This window comes from Homo sapiens, chromosome 7, assembly GCF_000001405.40.
Source record: "Homo sapiens chromosome 7, GRCh38.p14 Primary Assembly".
NCBI classification, from domain to species: Eukaryota; Metazoa; Chordata; class Mammalia; order Primates; family Hominidae; genus Homo; species Homo sapiens.
The window spans coordinates 16,741,361-16,757,523 of NC_000007.14; the positions used below are offsets into that span (position 1 = coordinate 16,741,361).

A 16,163-nucleotide genomic window follows, 5' to 3' on the forward strand; every position below is an offset into this window, starting at 1 on the left:
GTAGTATTACTTTATTTTTACCCAAAAACTGTGGGAGAAGGATTGGCTGACTTCTGAGACTAAGCCCTAAAAGTCTTGGAGTTTCTGCCTGGATCTCTTGAAATATGTAGGGGAAGCAAGACATCATGTAAGAAGTTCAACTACCCTGAGATTGTCATGCTATGAGGAAGCTTAAGCCAATTATGTAGAGAAGGCCAGTATACCTCAGCTATTTCAGCCATCCCAGCTGAGGCTCCAGAGAAGTGGTGAGGAGGGCATCTTCTATGTCCAGTCCGCTAGAGCCTTCAGAGGACTCTAACCCCAGCCTCCAACTAACTGAGCAGAATGAGGAACCTCAAGTGAGAAACACTGAGCTGAGTCTAGGCAATGCACAAACTTGTGAAAGATGTTAATAAATTGTAGTTTTAAGATTCTGTGTTTTGAGGGTAGTTTGCTAGGTAGCAGCAGATAACTGCAACTGAATCACTGGCCACAAAATCTTTGCTACGACTCCTACCAAGAGGTTGAGTCTATTTCCTCTCTCCTTGGACCTGTGCTGGCCTGTGATTGCTTTGCCCAAAAGAGTACATCAGAAGTGACCCAATGCCAGTGCTGAGGCCTGTCTTTAAGAGTACTGGCAGCTTCCACTTTGTCTCAGCACAGTGAGCCACTGTGTAAGAAGTCCAACAACCTTGCTGGAGAAACCACATGGAGAGGTCCTGAGGCTGTAAGGAGGGGCAGAACATCCCGGTTGAACCCCAGCATGTGAGGCTGGACCCTCCAGACCAGACTGAGTGTCACCTGAATACCACAGAGTGACACCATAGGGGCAGAATTGGACCCCCAAGCCCTGCTTAAATTCCTTACCTACAAAATCGCGAGGTATAATAATATGGTTAGCATTTTAAGTTGCTAAATTTAGGGGTAATGTATTATATAAAAATAAATAATTGAGACAAGGAATTTCCCCAAATTTATATAGTATCACTAATAATGAATTGTGACTATAAGTTGTAAAGAAGAAAATAGTTAACATAAATTATTGATAATAAATAGCTTTAATTAACCATGCTGGAGGAAAGACTTAATTATTTTTCTATTCTCTCTGGAAAATATTACAAAACTATTGTCATATGAAGAAGATATGAAAAAGTAAGCAGCCAAAAAAGTAGGAAATGCTGGGTGTGGTGGCTCAGGCATGTAATCCCAGCACTTTGGGAGGCTGAGGAAGGTGGGTCGCTTAAGCCCAGGAGTTCGAGACCAACCTGGGCAATGTGGCGAGCAGCCTGGGAAAAATTTCTGCAAAAAAATAAAAAAATTACCTGGCATTGTGGAACATACCTGTAGTTCCACTACTCAAGAGGCTGAGCTGGGAGGGTCACCTAAGTCCAGGAGGTTGAGGTTGCAGTGAGCTGTGACCATTATCTTATCACTCCAGCCTGGGAGACAGAGTTAGACCCTGTCTCAGAAAGAAAAAAAAAAGAAAAAAAAAAGGTAGGAAAAAATGTATTATAGAGCTATTTGCATATTATAAGGCAGTTAATTAGTATAAACTATATAATATTTTTCAGGATTTTGTGAAGGAGGCTTGTGGTATATATCACCATATCATTTGTTTTGAAAATTTTTAATTTGCTGTTTTTTAAATGTAAATATTCACTTTTGTACCAAATTTTGTATTTTGTACTTTGTATTCTTTTCCTAAAAGAGCTTGAGCAAATTTTCAGAGCTCTGCAATCGAAGTCAAGATTCTACAAACTTCCAAAGGGAAAGAAAAAAAATAAAACCAAATCCGAATCACCCCATACAAAGAATCAAAATGGCTTTGGACCTTTCTACACCACTGGAAGATAAAATTTAATAGCAAACAGCCCTCAAACTTCTAGCAGGAAATAATTTCCAACGGTGTAGAATTTAATACACTGTGAAGCCCTTTATCAAAAGAGAGAGAATAAAAGTATTTTCTGACTGGTGTATAATAGGGCTTTAAACATTTCAACCATTCACCTTATTTCGGAAAAGTACTAAACAATGTGTTCCAGTGTATTTGCACTTGTGTAAACAGGATATGACTTAACTCTGACACACTTTTATTTCCAAAAACTCTGTGTCTTTGTCGTAGGTTGTATCTAGTAGACTTTGTCAGAAATATCACAAACACACAATTGGTAAATTTTGGCAGTAACAGCCAATATGCAAAGTCCTCTGAAGTGAAATGAGAAAGGTCACTTCACCATCTGCGTTCTCTAATAAACAGCTATGGTTCTAAAGAAAAATGTGTGTAAGAAATTAAGTTTGAAAAAATACACAGATGGTTTTACTATTTTTTTCTATGATAACATTGTTTATATAATCTAAAACTCAGATTACTGGCACATTAGGCTATAAGTATTTATCTTACCTTCACTGGTCTCTTTTATAGCTTAATCATAAAGTAATCATCTGGGTATGCTATCAACATGCAGGGGTTCAGACCCTGTGGTCCTTTCCAATCACTATTTTCCCGCCCCTGGACCCCCAAAATGCGTGACTCCCCTGACTTTTATGATTATCAAGCCCTCACTTTTATTCATAATTTCACTCTTTGACATTCATCCCTAAACACTGTAAGTTTATATGTTTTTGTTCTATAAAGAGAATCATACAATATATATTTTTGTATTTCTGGTTTCTTTTACTCAACTCTATCTTTGTAAGACACATTCATATTGTTGCCGTAGCTGTATTTTTTTGTTTGTTTGTTTCTAGTATTGGATAGGTTTCTGTTATGTGAATGTACCATGATTTAGTTATCCATTTCTATTATTAATGAATATTTGAGTTGTTTCCAGTTTGGAGGATTACCAGTACACCAGGAGCTGCATTAGACTGATCAATCTGACTTTTAGGACTCATAAATTCTTCATAGATAAGAGACAGAAAGATGTTTTTATAAAACTTAAGAACATTTAATCACCCTTATAAATGCCAGGGTTACTTTCATTTTCTTAAACACAATGACAGTTTATTTAAATAAACTCAGCTGGCCACTTTAATTGCACTTTCCCCTGTTCATTCTTACCTATTACTCTCCGATTTATGTGTATTAATTGAGGCAGTATTGATGCAGGATATTTCTTGGCCACTTTGCCAACCAGGGACCTCCACAACTTTTGATGCCCCTCTCCCCTCACCTGGGCCTTGCTCAGGCCCAGGCCTGCCACTGGAGGCACCCCACCCACTTGGCCCACCGTTCTATAGCTTGTACCCATGTTCAGTGGCTCCCGAGCACTTGTCACAAGTCCAAGAAAAATGAGGATACACTGACAATTGAAGGGTGAGGATGGGCAGAGAAGAATTTTATTGAGCAACGGAACAGCTCTCAGTGGAGAGGGGAAGTGGTGGGGGAAATGGTCCCCCACTCCCACAGTCGGGTAGTTTCTCTCCCAGTGTGGCTGAGGGCAGGACTTCTATGGCTTCAGAATAGGGGAGTGTGTACTGATTGGTTTGTGAGTGAGTATGTAGAGAAAGCCTAAAGCAAAGGCAATACTCAAAGGTGGGCACAGCAGGGGAGAAAACCAATTCAGAAAGGGTAGGTATATGTACAATAGGTGAAGGGTGGAGATCAATCAGAGGAAAGCATGCCAAATAGGAAGACAGGTTCTCAATCTGGTCTGTGGATTTACCCTGCACTTGTAGCTGGGCTTTAAACTGTCTTTGGCTTGAAGGTTCGGTTTCACCGGGGACCCTCCCCTATCTGCCTAGGCATCTGCCTGCCTCCTGTCACTATCAGCATTATTAGCTTTCAGAGCCAAACATGCATCTGTTGAAGTGGCCTTTGGACAAATAAATACAACACATTGGCCTACAATATTCAAAATGGAAACAGATTCAGGCCTCAGAATCCAAAAGGGAGTAAAAGACCAATGGAAAGGGAGGATGCAGAGAATAAAGAGGCAAAGAGTAGGTAGATTATTCAGTCATTAAAGCTGATTGTCCCCCTCACTGAAGGCAGGTTGTCAGTGGCCAGGCTGGATTTGTCTGGTTGTCGAGCTGGATTTGCTCTTTAGGCTCTGGAATTATATGTAATACCGTAGTAGCTAAATATACCACTAAAAATACTCACTTCTAGAAATTTAGAATTGGGATGTTAGTGCTGATATAATCTAACCAGATGGTCAAATAGATATGTATGTTTTATTCTTGCTGGCATTATATGAAGGAAAAAGAAAAAAAGAATTTACATCCAACATCTGGCTGGTAAAAGCCAGAAAAAAACTTCATGTTTAATTTGTGGTTGGAAGAAAAACATTTTCTGAAATTGAATTCTGGTTTGAAGTCCTCTGGTGTGAACAGTGACACATCCTGCATAGCAAAAGGGAAACTTACTATTATTGTAGGAGCAATGAATGTGTTGCATTTAATGGCTAATGTTTGGCAATACGTTCAAAAGAGTAGGATAACACAGAGAAAATAGAGCAAAGGGTAGACTTAGAAGGAGAGAGACTTCTGTTGTTGATCAGCTTCTTTGTCTCATTGTCAGCCAAGAAGCTCCCTGCCTATGCTTCATTCAATCCTAAAGATTGCAAATCATTACAAAGGAAAGTTTCCAGTTCTTTTCTTTGTTTGCTTAGGAAGCAGCAGAATCAGAGGAAAAATGGAAAAAGGTGTAATAAAAAATCTGTCATTAGAAAAAATTTAACCGAATCAATCCACTTAAAATCATTGACAGATATTTTTTAAATGGTCAATTTGTTTAATAATAATATTTGATTAGCTAAGAAAATATTACACTGAAGTTTATAGCAATGTGGACTATAGTTGAAGCAATTTAAAATTAACTATACCACTGATATTTTATGTGGCTATAACTTATCTATGATAAACAATTAGATAAGCAATTATAAGTTTATCTAATTTCATGTTTATATTTTGGAGGTCAAGAAAGTATTTTGGTAGGGTCGGTAACAGTGCTGTATAACAGTTTAGGAGTAATTTAGCTTAGGATTTATTGAGGACGATCAGATCCTAGTGTTCAATTATTATTATTTTTTTCCTCCTATGGTCTTGTCTGAAAAGGATTGAATAATATTTGGGATTTTTTTTTTGTTTGTGTGTGTTTGTTTTTTAGAGAAAGGATCTCCCTATGTTGCCCAGGCTGGACTCAAACTTCTGGGCTCAAGTGATCCTCCCACCTCAGCCCTCTGATTAACCAGGACTACAGGCATGTGGCACTTCACCTGACTGCCATGTTGAATTATTTAAAAATAAATGTTGACCTTAAGTTTGAATAATAAGAATTTCATAAATTTGAGTTAATGTCAACTAAACCTTAACCATGAAAAGAGTTTTACAATAAGAATTTTAAAAATCTGGCCAGGTGCGATGGCTCATGCCTATAATCCCAGCACTTTGGGAGGCTGAGGCGGGCCAATCACCTGAGGTCAGGAGTTCAAGACCAGCCCGGCCAAAGTGGTGAAATCCTGTCTCTACTAAAAATACAAAAATTAGCTGGGCATGGTGGCACGTGCCTGTAATCCCAACTAGGCAGGAGGATTGCTTGAACCTGGGAGACGGAAGTTGCAGTGAGCCGAGATCGCACCACTGCATTCTAGCCTGAGCGACAGGGCGAGACCCTGTCCCCCGCAACACAAAAAAAAAAGAATAAAGAAAAGAAAAGAATTATTAAAATCTGAAATTGATTACCCAGTGAAGTGAGAGAATTTTCTTCCCTGATAAAATGATGAAGACTGCAAAACTGAAAGATGGTTTGAAATGTGACTAGAGAAATCTTTGTAGAATACAGGGAAAAAATGTAATCAGAATTATTTTTCAAGAAAATGTACTTCTCAGATCTATTGTGGGGAGCATAAATGAAGCCAGTCCCATGTTATACTCTGAAATCCATCACAGCATTTGTGCTGATATTTCCAGCCTGTGACAGCGTGGCAGGAACACTAAGGCAGGGTCATTCCAGGAGAGCATGTGGGATTTCTCTGACATCTGGCTTGGACTCCCTGTTGGCCTTGCCAAATCTCCTTAAAACTGCACTGCAGTCATAGACCCTTCCTTCCCTCCTCTCTCTCCCCTTCCTTTCTTCTCTTGCCTTATTCTCTCTCTCCTTCACAGATGTCAAACCTGCACTGTGGTCTTTTAGCTCTCCCAGCCTCCAAGAGTTCCCTCCCTATTTCCCCTCATGGACATTTCTCCTAATTAATTGCTTGCACATCTAACCCAGTTTTGGCATCTGCTTCTCAGAAGATCTAGACTAATGCACAAGAATTCTGTTATTGCCCTGACTCAAAAACATGTATATATACGTATATACATTTTTAAAAAGTATATATATATATATATATATATATATATACTTTTTTTTTTTTGAGAAGAGTTTTGCTCTTGTCGCCCAGGCTGGGTTACAGTGGCACTATCTTGGCTCACTGCAACCTCCACCTCCCGGGTTCAAGTGATTCTCCTGCCTCAGCCTCCCAAGTAGCTGGGATTACAGGTGCCCACCACCACACCCTGTTAATTTTTTGTATTCTTAGTAGAGACGGGGTTTCACCATGTTGGCCAGGCTGGTCTGGAACTCCTGACCTCAGGTGATCCACCCACCTCGGCGTCCCAAAGTGCTGTGATTACAGGCGTGAATCACTGTGCCCGGCCTCAAAAACATATTAAACGAGCAGGAAGAAGAAGGAGAAGGAGGAGGAAGAAGAGGAGGAGGGGAGGAAGGGGAGGAGAAGGGGGAAAGGAGGAAGAGTGGGAAAAGAGGAGGAAGAGGAGGAGAAGGAGGAGGAAGGAAGCGTACCGATCTCCTAAATTGTTAGAAGGTCATCTCACATTAAAGATTTATTCAGAGACTAAGAAAGTATATGAAAAATTGATGTTTGTCTTTGTTATTCCTAATTGAAAACTGTTAAAAATAGTTTGCTTATGTAGTATATATACATATATATATATATATTTTGCTGTTTGTTTGTTTTTTTAGACAGAGTCTCACTCTGTCACCAGGTTGGAGTGCAGTGGCGCAATCTTGGCTCACTGCAACCTCCACCTCCCAGGTTCAAGTGATTCTCCTGCCCCAGCCTCCTGAGTAGGTGGGACTACAGGCGCCCACCACCACGCCCGGCTAATTTTTTGTATTTTTAGTAGAGACGGGGTTTCACCATGTTGGCCAGGATGGTCTTGATCTCTTGACCTCTTGATCCACCTGCCTTGGCCTCCCAAAGTGCTGGGATTACAGGCGTGAGCCACCGTGCCTGGCTGTAGTATATTCTTATAATTTTATGCTGCCACGGCATACATTTTGAAATTGGACTCATATCAGAAGCAGGGCTCAGTTTCCAGTTCTACACCTTCCCAGTTCCTCAATGTGGCCAATCCACACATCTACCTTATACAGCTTCCTCCTGGTGACCACCTCCCAGTGGGACGGCTATTAATCAGTGCAGCCTGCCTGACTGGCCCGCTGAGCCTCACTACCTGCATGGACTGTGCAGACATGCCACAATGACCACCTGTCAGTCACTGTGTGACCTCCTGGCAGTCATGCCTGCTTGTTATGAACTCACTAATTAAAACTCCCCACGGGAAACCCCCGGAACCAATAAGGGCACTTGCCCACAGACCCCCCTCTCTCCCCCTGCGCAGACTCCTGGATATCTCTGTGTGTGGCCTCCAGGCATGCAGGTACCCAGTAAGTAATAAAACCTTTATTTCCATCTTGTGTCTCTTCTAATCATTGGAGGAGTACTCTACATCTTAAAGATCTTAAATTAAAACAGTTTAGAAGGCCAGTTTTTAAGAAATACAATTCAATTATCCATTCTATTGATTTTGTGGATAAAGACAACTTTATTGTATAAAAATAAAACCTTGGCCAGGCCCGGCGTCTCACGCCTATAATCCCAGCACTTTGGGAGGCTGAGGTGGGTGGATCACCTGAGGTCAGGAGTTCCAGACCAGCCTGGCTAACATGGTGAAACCCCGTCTCTACTAAAAATACAAAAAATTAGCAGGGTTTGGTGGCACGCACCTGTAATCCCAGCTACTTGGGAGGCTGAGGCAGGAGAATTGCTTGAACCCGGGAGGTGGAGGTTGCTGTGAGCCAAGATAGTGCCGTTGCACTCCAGCTTGGGCAACAAGAGTGAAACTCCATCTAAAAATAAAATAAAATAAAATAAAAGCTCTCCTTCCACTCAGAAATATATGTAATCTCATAGCTTAGTCTCCAGTATAACTCTGTGAGAAGAACTGTAGTCCAGTGTCCCATTCTTTTTTTCACTTAAAAAAAGGCAGTTTTTCATCAAAGGAACAATATGGAGGCATAATATGAAAGAAGGACATTGCCTATGGCAGATTTTATTTTCTAAAGACACCACAGTACGTCTCATCACATATGCTCTTCCAAAATGTGGCCTTGCAAACTTGAAGAAAAATAGAGCCTGAAGTAAATAATATTTACTCCCAGAAAATGGCACATCCCTTATTCTGTCAGGCTGCTGGTGTGGTTGCCTAAGTCCATCTAAACTATAGTTAAGCTGAATTAGGGTTTGTTATAGGTTTAATAGATTCAGTTCATTATTGGCTTCAAATATTCTTGAAGGCATGATCAAGACTTTCCTCTTACAGAAAGGAGGTCTGCATAGAGATTTCTTCGTGCTTTGCAGCCTAGCCACCAGCAATCTGAGCCTTGGGAGATCTTTGTGCTTTACAGCCTGCTACCTTTTTGTTTGCTGGGGAATAGTCTTTGCTCTCCACTCACATCCTTGGCTTTCTGTATCTTGTGAGATCTCTTGCTATCCTGTGTGGAATCCTATTCCAGCCATTGGAGGGCTCTTTCAGTGTACCATAGAGAGAGTTTTCTTTTCTGCTGCTACGTTAGTCCTGGAGTTAAAGAACCAGATTGCTTTGCTGGAATTTTTCTTATTTTTCCTCACTTTACCCCAGCTTTTAGCCACTATCTTGCATTTGGGGAAGGCTTATACACCTTGAAATAGTTGGAGATGAAGAATATCTATTAGCACTTGACATGGTTTGGCTGTGTCCTCACCCAAATCTCAGCTTGAATTGTATCTTCCAGAATTGCCAGATGTTTTGGGAGGTACCCAGGGTAGGTAATTGAATCATGGGGGCCGGTCTTTCCCATGCTATTCTCGTGATAGTGAATAAGTCTCATGACATCTGATGAGTTTATCAAGGGTTTCTGCTTTTACTTCTTCCTCATTTTTCTCTTGCCACCACTATGTAAGAAGTGCCTTTCGCCTCCCACCATGATTCTGAGGCCTCCCCAGCCATGTGGAAATATAAGTCCAATTAAACCTCTTTTTCTGCCCAGTTTCAGGTACGTCTTTATCAGCAGCATGAAAACGAACTAATGCAGCAATCTTGCCTGACCACGGCCTTTGTAGCTTATATGTCTTGTTTTAAAAGAAAGCCCATGGGTTAGAGCTGGCAAATAGTTGCAGTCATTCTGTAGCTGGGGCTCTGGATTATAAACTGTCACATAGTCCAGGTAGGGGCAGTAGAAGATGGTTAAATAGTCATTTAGTTTCTCCTTATCCCTCTCAAAGGTAGTTTCTCCCTTCCACAGCCAGTCTATAAGAGATGAAAGTGACTATGAGTTTTTTTCCCCCTCTAATAATGTCTCATCACTTCTTGGATTTTAGTTCCTCTAGTGCCTTTAGCCCCTCAGTTCTTCGATAGTTTTTTGTTGTAAGTATGATTTGGTAGCTTATCTAGCTTGTTTTTACTTACTTTGAGACAGGGTCTTGGTCTGCACCCAGGCTGGAGTGCTGTGGCGCCATCATAGCTGACTGCAGCCTTGATCTCCTGGGCTCCAGCAATCCTTCCCCCTCAGGCTCCTGAGTAGCTGGGATAGCTGGGATTACAGGTATGCACCACCACACCCAGCTAATATTTTCAATTTTTAGTAGAGATGGGGTCTCACTATGTTGTCCAGACTGCTTGTTCTTATTAGGGTGGGAACAAATGGTCTTTTGAAAATTTCTATATCCAAATCAGGAGAAATTGCAACATGTCCATTTGTTTTCCTATTTTCAGACATTGTTTTGTTTCCTCTATCAAAAGCCGTATCTCCTATCAGACAACTCTCCTACAACTATAGCTCTTGCCTGGCTTCTGTAACTGTTCCCTTAAATCACCCCCTTAGTCTTAGGGGTAATTAGAACTTCCTGCTCTTACTATCTCTGAGCTGCCTCATCATGCTTTGTTGGTTTCCTTTTCTTTTTGAGACAGAATTTCACTCTGTCACCCAGGCTGGAGAGCAGTGGCGCGATCTTGGCTCACTGCAACCTCCACCTCCTGGGTTCAAGTGATTCTCCTGCCTCAGCCTCCCAAGTAGCTGGGATTACAGGTGCCCGCTACCACGCCTGGCTAATTTTTGTAGTTTTAGTAGAGACGGGGTTTCACCATGTTGGTCAGTCTGGTCTCAAACTCCTGACCTCAGGTGATCCACTACCCTCGGCCTCCCAAAGTGCTGGGATTACAGGTGTGAGCCACCGCACCCAGCCGGTTTCCTTTAACTTTGTCCACACTTTTGAAAATAGTCCCTTTTTGAAATTCTTCTCAGTTATGCTATTTGAACGAGTCATCTCCTTTTTGCTGGGACCCTGACTGATAGGTGGTACTTCTCTGGGAAAACAAAGTGATTCAGCCTATAGGGAGATAGTGAAGATATTATGCAGAAGCCAAAGAGAGAGTTGCAATAGTTGGTTGAGTGATAGTTGAAGTGGTACTAATGTTGGTGACACCCAGGAATGGGAAGAGAATGAATAGATTTCCCTGCCAATGCCTCATCTTTTGTAAACCTCTGGCTATTAAAAAGGAAAGTTGAGCATCATCAAAGCATTGTTTGTGTTTGAGGATCATTTTCCAGGTTAGTTTTTGAAATATTTCTAGCTGTATATAAAAGGTTAATGTGGAATAGAAAGCCTAACAAATTAATGAGGTCTTGTTGGTATGGTGGGGTCAGGGGAGGGAAGGAGAGGCTGGAAGAGGGAGCAGAGAATTCTAAGAAGACGAATTATTTTAATCAGCTGCAATGTTTAATTTAATTTAATACAATTTAGCATTTGCAATTACATAATTTACTCCGTATGAACCTTTAGGTTAGATATAGTATTGTAAACTTGCAAATCTCTTTATAAAACCTTTTTCTTTGGTAGAAACTACTATGAAGTAAATAAACCTTTATTGCCTTCGCTTAGTGCCTGGAACACAGTAGGCCTTTACAAAATGTCAGATCTATGAATACTAGCTGACATTTATTGAGGCCTTCCCCTGTGCCAGCCACTATGCAAAAAGTGCTTGACATACTTCTAAAATCTCAATTTATAGGTGAGGAATTAAGGATACAAGATGCATTTCTATAGTAGAGAAGCAGTAAACTGATAATGAATTAATTGAGGTGAAGTCTGAGTTATTTGAAGATTTTCAGTTATTTTTGTGAAAAAATAAGTTTATTGAAATTCACGACCAGAACACAAAAATAATCTCTCTTGATTTTCTTTTTAAAATTTTTTAAAAAACTTTTGTTGACACGTAGCAGATGTATATATTTACGGGGTACATGAGATGTTTTGATACAGGCATGCAATGTGAAATAAGCACATCACGGAGAATAGGGTATCCATCCTCTGAAACATTTATCCTTTGAGTTACAAACAATCCAATTACATTCTTTAAGTTATTTTAAAATACACAATTAAGTTCTTATTAACGATTGTCACTTTATTGTGCTATCAAATAGTAGGTCTTATTCATTCTTTCTATTTTTTTGGACCTATTAACCATCCCCACCTTCTCCCGCTCTTGATTTTCCTTTGCATGCATGTATTCATAAAGTTTATTAGTATTTTGCAAATCTTTGTAGGATAAGTCTGACCTGTCCAGGTCACAATTATAGGGCACATATCTTATTTTCTGAGAGAAGCAGGGATTTTATTTTATTTTTTATTGTTTCACTTATTTTCTCCCTTTCATTTGCCTCTACTTCGTTCTCTTTTAAATCTTTCACATGTTTTCATTCATTACTTGCTTCCTGCCTTCCTTCCCTCAAACAAGGCCAGGTGCTTAGTTTTGAAATCTCATTCAAAATGGTGCCACGTCATCTGCCAGGGCCAAGAATCCAGAGGTGCTGTCATATTTCTCCTTGCCAGCGTGGATCTCCTCCGAGCCCCGCCCTCCCTCCTCACCTGCTCCTGGGGAAACTACACCAAGGCCGCCGCTCTGGCCTGGGGCTCCCTCCCACACGGCCTTGGCCCTCTCCCCCTCGCCCCGGGACCGCTCCGCCCCTCCCGGATCCCGGTCGGCGGAGCGCATTTATTTGCATATTTCTACCTTTGTTCCCTGCCAGCGGCCAATCAGCGCGCGGGGCGAGACGAAGGGGCTGGGCGGGGCTCGGGCTCCTGCTCCGGCTCAGCTGCGGCGGCCGCAGGTTCCAAAGCGGGTCCGAGCCGCCGCCGCGCGCGCGCCGCGCACTGCAGCCCCAGGCCCCGGCCCCCCACCCACGTCTGCGTTGCTGCCCCGCCTGGGCCAGGCCCCAAAGGCAAGGACAAAGCAGCTGTCAGGGAACCTCCGCCGGAGTCGAATTTACGTGCAGCTGCCGGCAACCACAGGTTCCAAGATGGTTTGCGGGGGCTTCGCGTGTTCCAAGAACTGCCTGTGCGCCCTCAACCTGCTTTACACCGTGAGTATCCCCAGTCCGTTCCTGCTCGCTTGGGGGCTTTGCACCTGCTTGGGAGCTCTTTGGCTTCCCTGCCTGGTCAGCGACTCACTCGTTGCATCCCGCGCCCCCTTCCCGGCTTCCCACGTCTGCGCGCCCCCGGCCTCACCATCCGTCCCCGCCGGGGACCGGGCGCCGGCGCTTGTCGCAGTCTCTTCCTTTCGTTCATTGTGAAGCCGCGGTCTCTCAGGCTCGCTGGCCGCGTCTCTGCCACATTGCTCCACCCCGCCCCCTCACCCACCGCCTTGTTTTTCAAACATTCAACCGGACCTCTCCGCTTTCCCACCCCGTACCCTTCTGCCGCTCGCTCCTGACATCCAGACGCATCTGGGCCAGGCGTGGAGGCGCGAGAGCCGTCAGGGCTTGCGGACAGTTTTGCGGAATGGCGTGGCCTGAAACTGACGAGGCGGCATATGGCTGGTGTGCCTCTGGGTTAGCTCTTGGTACCCTCGGGATTTTAATTGAGGCCACTGAGTAGGTTCACAGGATGTCCGCTGCTTCCGAAGTTTGTTTCGTGCTCACAGTAAAGGGATGTCTTTTTGTTTTTGTTGTTGTCAGTTTTGCTAGTACTTGGTGCTTTTTCTGTGTGTCTTGTCCATGATCAATATCCTAACTCCATTTTAAACCAAGTCCTCCAGGAAATAAGCGAGCCCCCACCCAAGTCGTTTCTTTCCCTGCCAACCAGCTTGGGCCTCTTAGTTTTAACGCTGCAGGCTCTCTTTGTGATTTTTTGAGGCGCAATTCTGGGTGAACAGGAGGATGGGCAGGACAGATCGACATTTATTGAATGCCTATCACGTCCCAGGTTTTACATACACAATGCTCGTTCATCATTCTGACAACCTTCTGAGGGAATGGGGCATTATCTGCATTTTATACATAAGGTAACAGACCAAAAAGGTTTTAGTAAGTTTACATAGCTGGTAGTTGACGAGTCAGGAGTGGAACCTAGGCTGTGGAATCCAGATCTTTCCACAGGCTGTCTCTACCGGGCGGAAGAAACTTCCTCTTCTGTCATCATCCCTCCATAGTAGTCTTGCTCCCTTCTATAAATATACCTGGCGCTTTGCAGCACCCACCCTGAAAACAAACCCAGCACCCCTGCATTAGCAGAGAGCTAGGCCATCTGTGCAAGCTTAGATTACCTCCTTGGAATAGAGAGGCTGCCTTGTGGTCACCAACAGGAGAAGGAGGTTGGGTCATTTTACCTTTACTGTTCCTTTGTATGTGAACATGACTGCAAGCTTTGAAGGCAAGACAGAAACAGGCATTGAGTACGCTTTTATGGCTAGTTAGTAAGAATCTGGTCAACATGGTCATTAATAGTAGACTTGGGAAAAAAATTTTAGAACACCTGGTGATACAGTTCCTTGGAGATACATGTCAAGTTTCAGATCAAAATTCATCTGTATCACCCTGAGGTATGCTTATCACCCTGGCTGTTTATTAAGTAAATGCTGACCAGTTCTCTAGGGTTTTTTTTTTTTTTTTTAAATCAGTGTGAGTGGCCTGCTTGGAACTTTAAATTCCTTATTTTGTGACCTGAGTTCTGTTTTTTTTCTGCCAATGATTTAGTCATCTGTTTGCCAGACACTTAGTCTTACAGTGCCTGCTTACACAGAGTGGAATGTCTACTTTGCATACTTACTTCACTGAAGGGTCTATATCAATGTATAATCTTTTTTAAAAAGGCAAGTTATTTTAAAATGAAGTTCCTTGCTTTCTAGACATCATTTTTAGTTGTATTTAGAGTATATCAGGAAAGTGAGGCGAAAGAAAGGTGATTCTAAAGGGACATATTAAGACTATTTAATATCTATTCTAAATTATTGACCTTCAAAGTGTGTGTTCTATTGATTTTAATAGCTATGCAGTAAAACTTAATGAATTGGAAATTCACGGGACAATAAAAATGGCTAGCCCTTTTAAATCATAGACTTTTTAGACAAAGGGACATTTCTTAAAATGAATTAGTGGCTGCTTGCTTCTTTTACATTGTAAATAGGCTTAAATAACTGCAGCAGTTTAAAGTGGAGGCAAGTGACAGGTAAAAGTTGGATCAAGTCTTAGATAGATGCTGAAAATGTGCCATGGCCATTATTTAGCTTCTATTTCTCCCCTGATCTCTTTCTCAACATTTTAAGATGAAAAAAATGTGAGGCAGTTGGGGATGGGATTGAGCATGAAGACTTGGGAGACATTTCTCTATAAGTCATGAATAGAAACATTCTTTGTAGGTTCTAATCCCACCCTGGTCACTGCCTCTAAAATGTGCTCAACGCTACAGGATTACATTTGAGGTCATTTCTAAAAGTGTTGGTTAAACCAGGATTGCATATGGGAACGGCAGATGCCTGAAACATCATCATTGCTGTGTTGAAGCATTTTACTGAGGAACTTAGGACTGTATCAGCTGAACTGTCCACATGCTCTGGTGGCTTGCTGATGAGCCTGAGATTCGTGCCACATTCATGATCAGCTCAGAAAGCATGTCACTAAAAACAAGTTGGAAGTCCCAAACAAGGAAATTTGATCACTAGGCAAAATGTTAACAGTTGATTTTTCTTGTTGTTTATGGCTTGATTATTTTAGTTAATAGGATCGCCAGTACTGGACAAGCTTAAATTAGTGTAGTATGTGTTAACAGTTTGTAAATATAGAAGAAAAGGGGGAAGCTACATTCCTGAATTCACCTTCACAGTATTCTAAGAGAATGACTTGCCTCAGAGCTTCCTGCATTTAAAGAAACTTTCAGTTTCTTCATTCAACAATTATTGAGTGCCTACTGTGTGCCAGGCTCTGTTCTCAGTTTGGAAATACAGCAGCAAACCAAACAGGGCGTAAAAATCAATGTGCTTTTATGAAGGCTCTTTTTTATTTACTACCTTTTATACATATGTTTTCAGGAATTGTATTCAGTCAATAAACTTTTGTCTACTGTGTGCACTCTTTTGAGAACTGTGGGAAATAATAAATACCTATAAAGGCAAATGCATTGTGAAGACAGGATCTAGATGAGAGACATGGAATGGGAAAATTAAATGGCGTATAAGGAATATACTGACTTTAGGTACCATAAAATTTAGGACTGTGGCAGATATTTGTGGGTTAGAGAAGTTGGGGGAATAAAGGAGGTGTGATTGAATCAAGGAAATGTAGAAATAGTGTGTGGGTCTTTTTGATACCATTTAGGATATACATAAAAATGAAAATGATTTGGGAAAATGACTTATTTTTAATAGTTTATAGGAATATTTTAGGCTGAAAAGATTTTGACAAGTAGTGAAAAAAACTTTTGAAAATTATGCTTAGTGATTTGTGGGAAATTTTAGAAAATATGAAATAAAATTTGTATTAAAATACGTAATATTTTGAAGCTTTATAATGTGTCTCCTTGTGCTTCTTAACCAGAGAAGAAAGCTCTATTAAAAACAAACAACCAAAAAAAAGGTAGCTG

General features: G+C 41.7%; 1 protein-coding gene across 1 annotated transcript in view, besides 1 other annotated feature; it reads left to right on the plus strand.

The window, feature by feature from the left end:
• Window positions 1-12,394: 12,394 nt before the first annotated feature.
• TSPAN13 (tetraspanin 13) overlaps window positions 12,395-16,163 on the plus strand; it is a 30,782-nt gene continuing 27,013 nt past the window's right edge. Inside the window, exon 1 of the mRNA NM_014399.4 lies at window positions 12,395-12,670. Within this exon, the coding sequence (NP_055214.1) occupies window positions 12,608-12,670 (63 nt within the window). The 5' untranslated portion in view covers window positions 12,395-12,607. The remainder of the gene's footprint in view (window positions 12,671-16,163) is intronic.
• Window positions 14,984-15,278: a silencer, noted in NCBI's record as "tiled region #12164; HepG2 Repressive non-DNase unmatched - State 24:Quies". NCBI's record gives its function as "represses a minimal TATA promoter and a strong SV40 promoter by Sharpr-MPRA in HepG2 cells {active_cell/tissue: HepG2}" and the evidence as "EXISTENCE:reporter gene assay evidence [ECO:0000049][PMID:27701403]".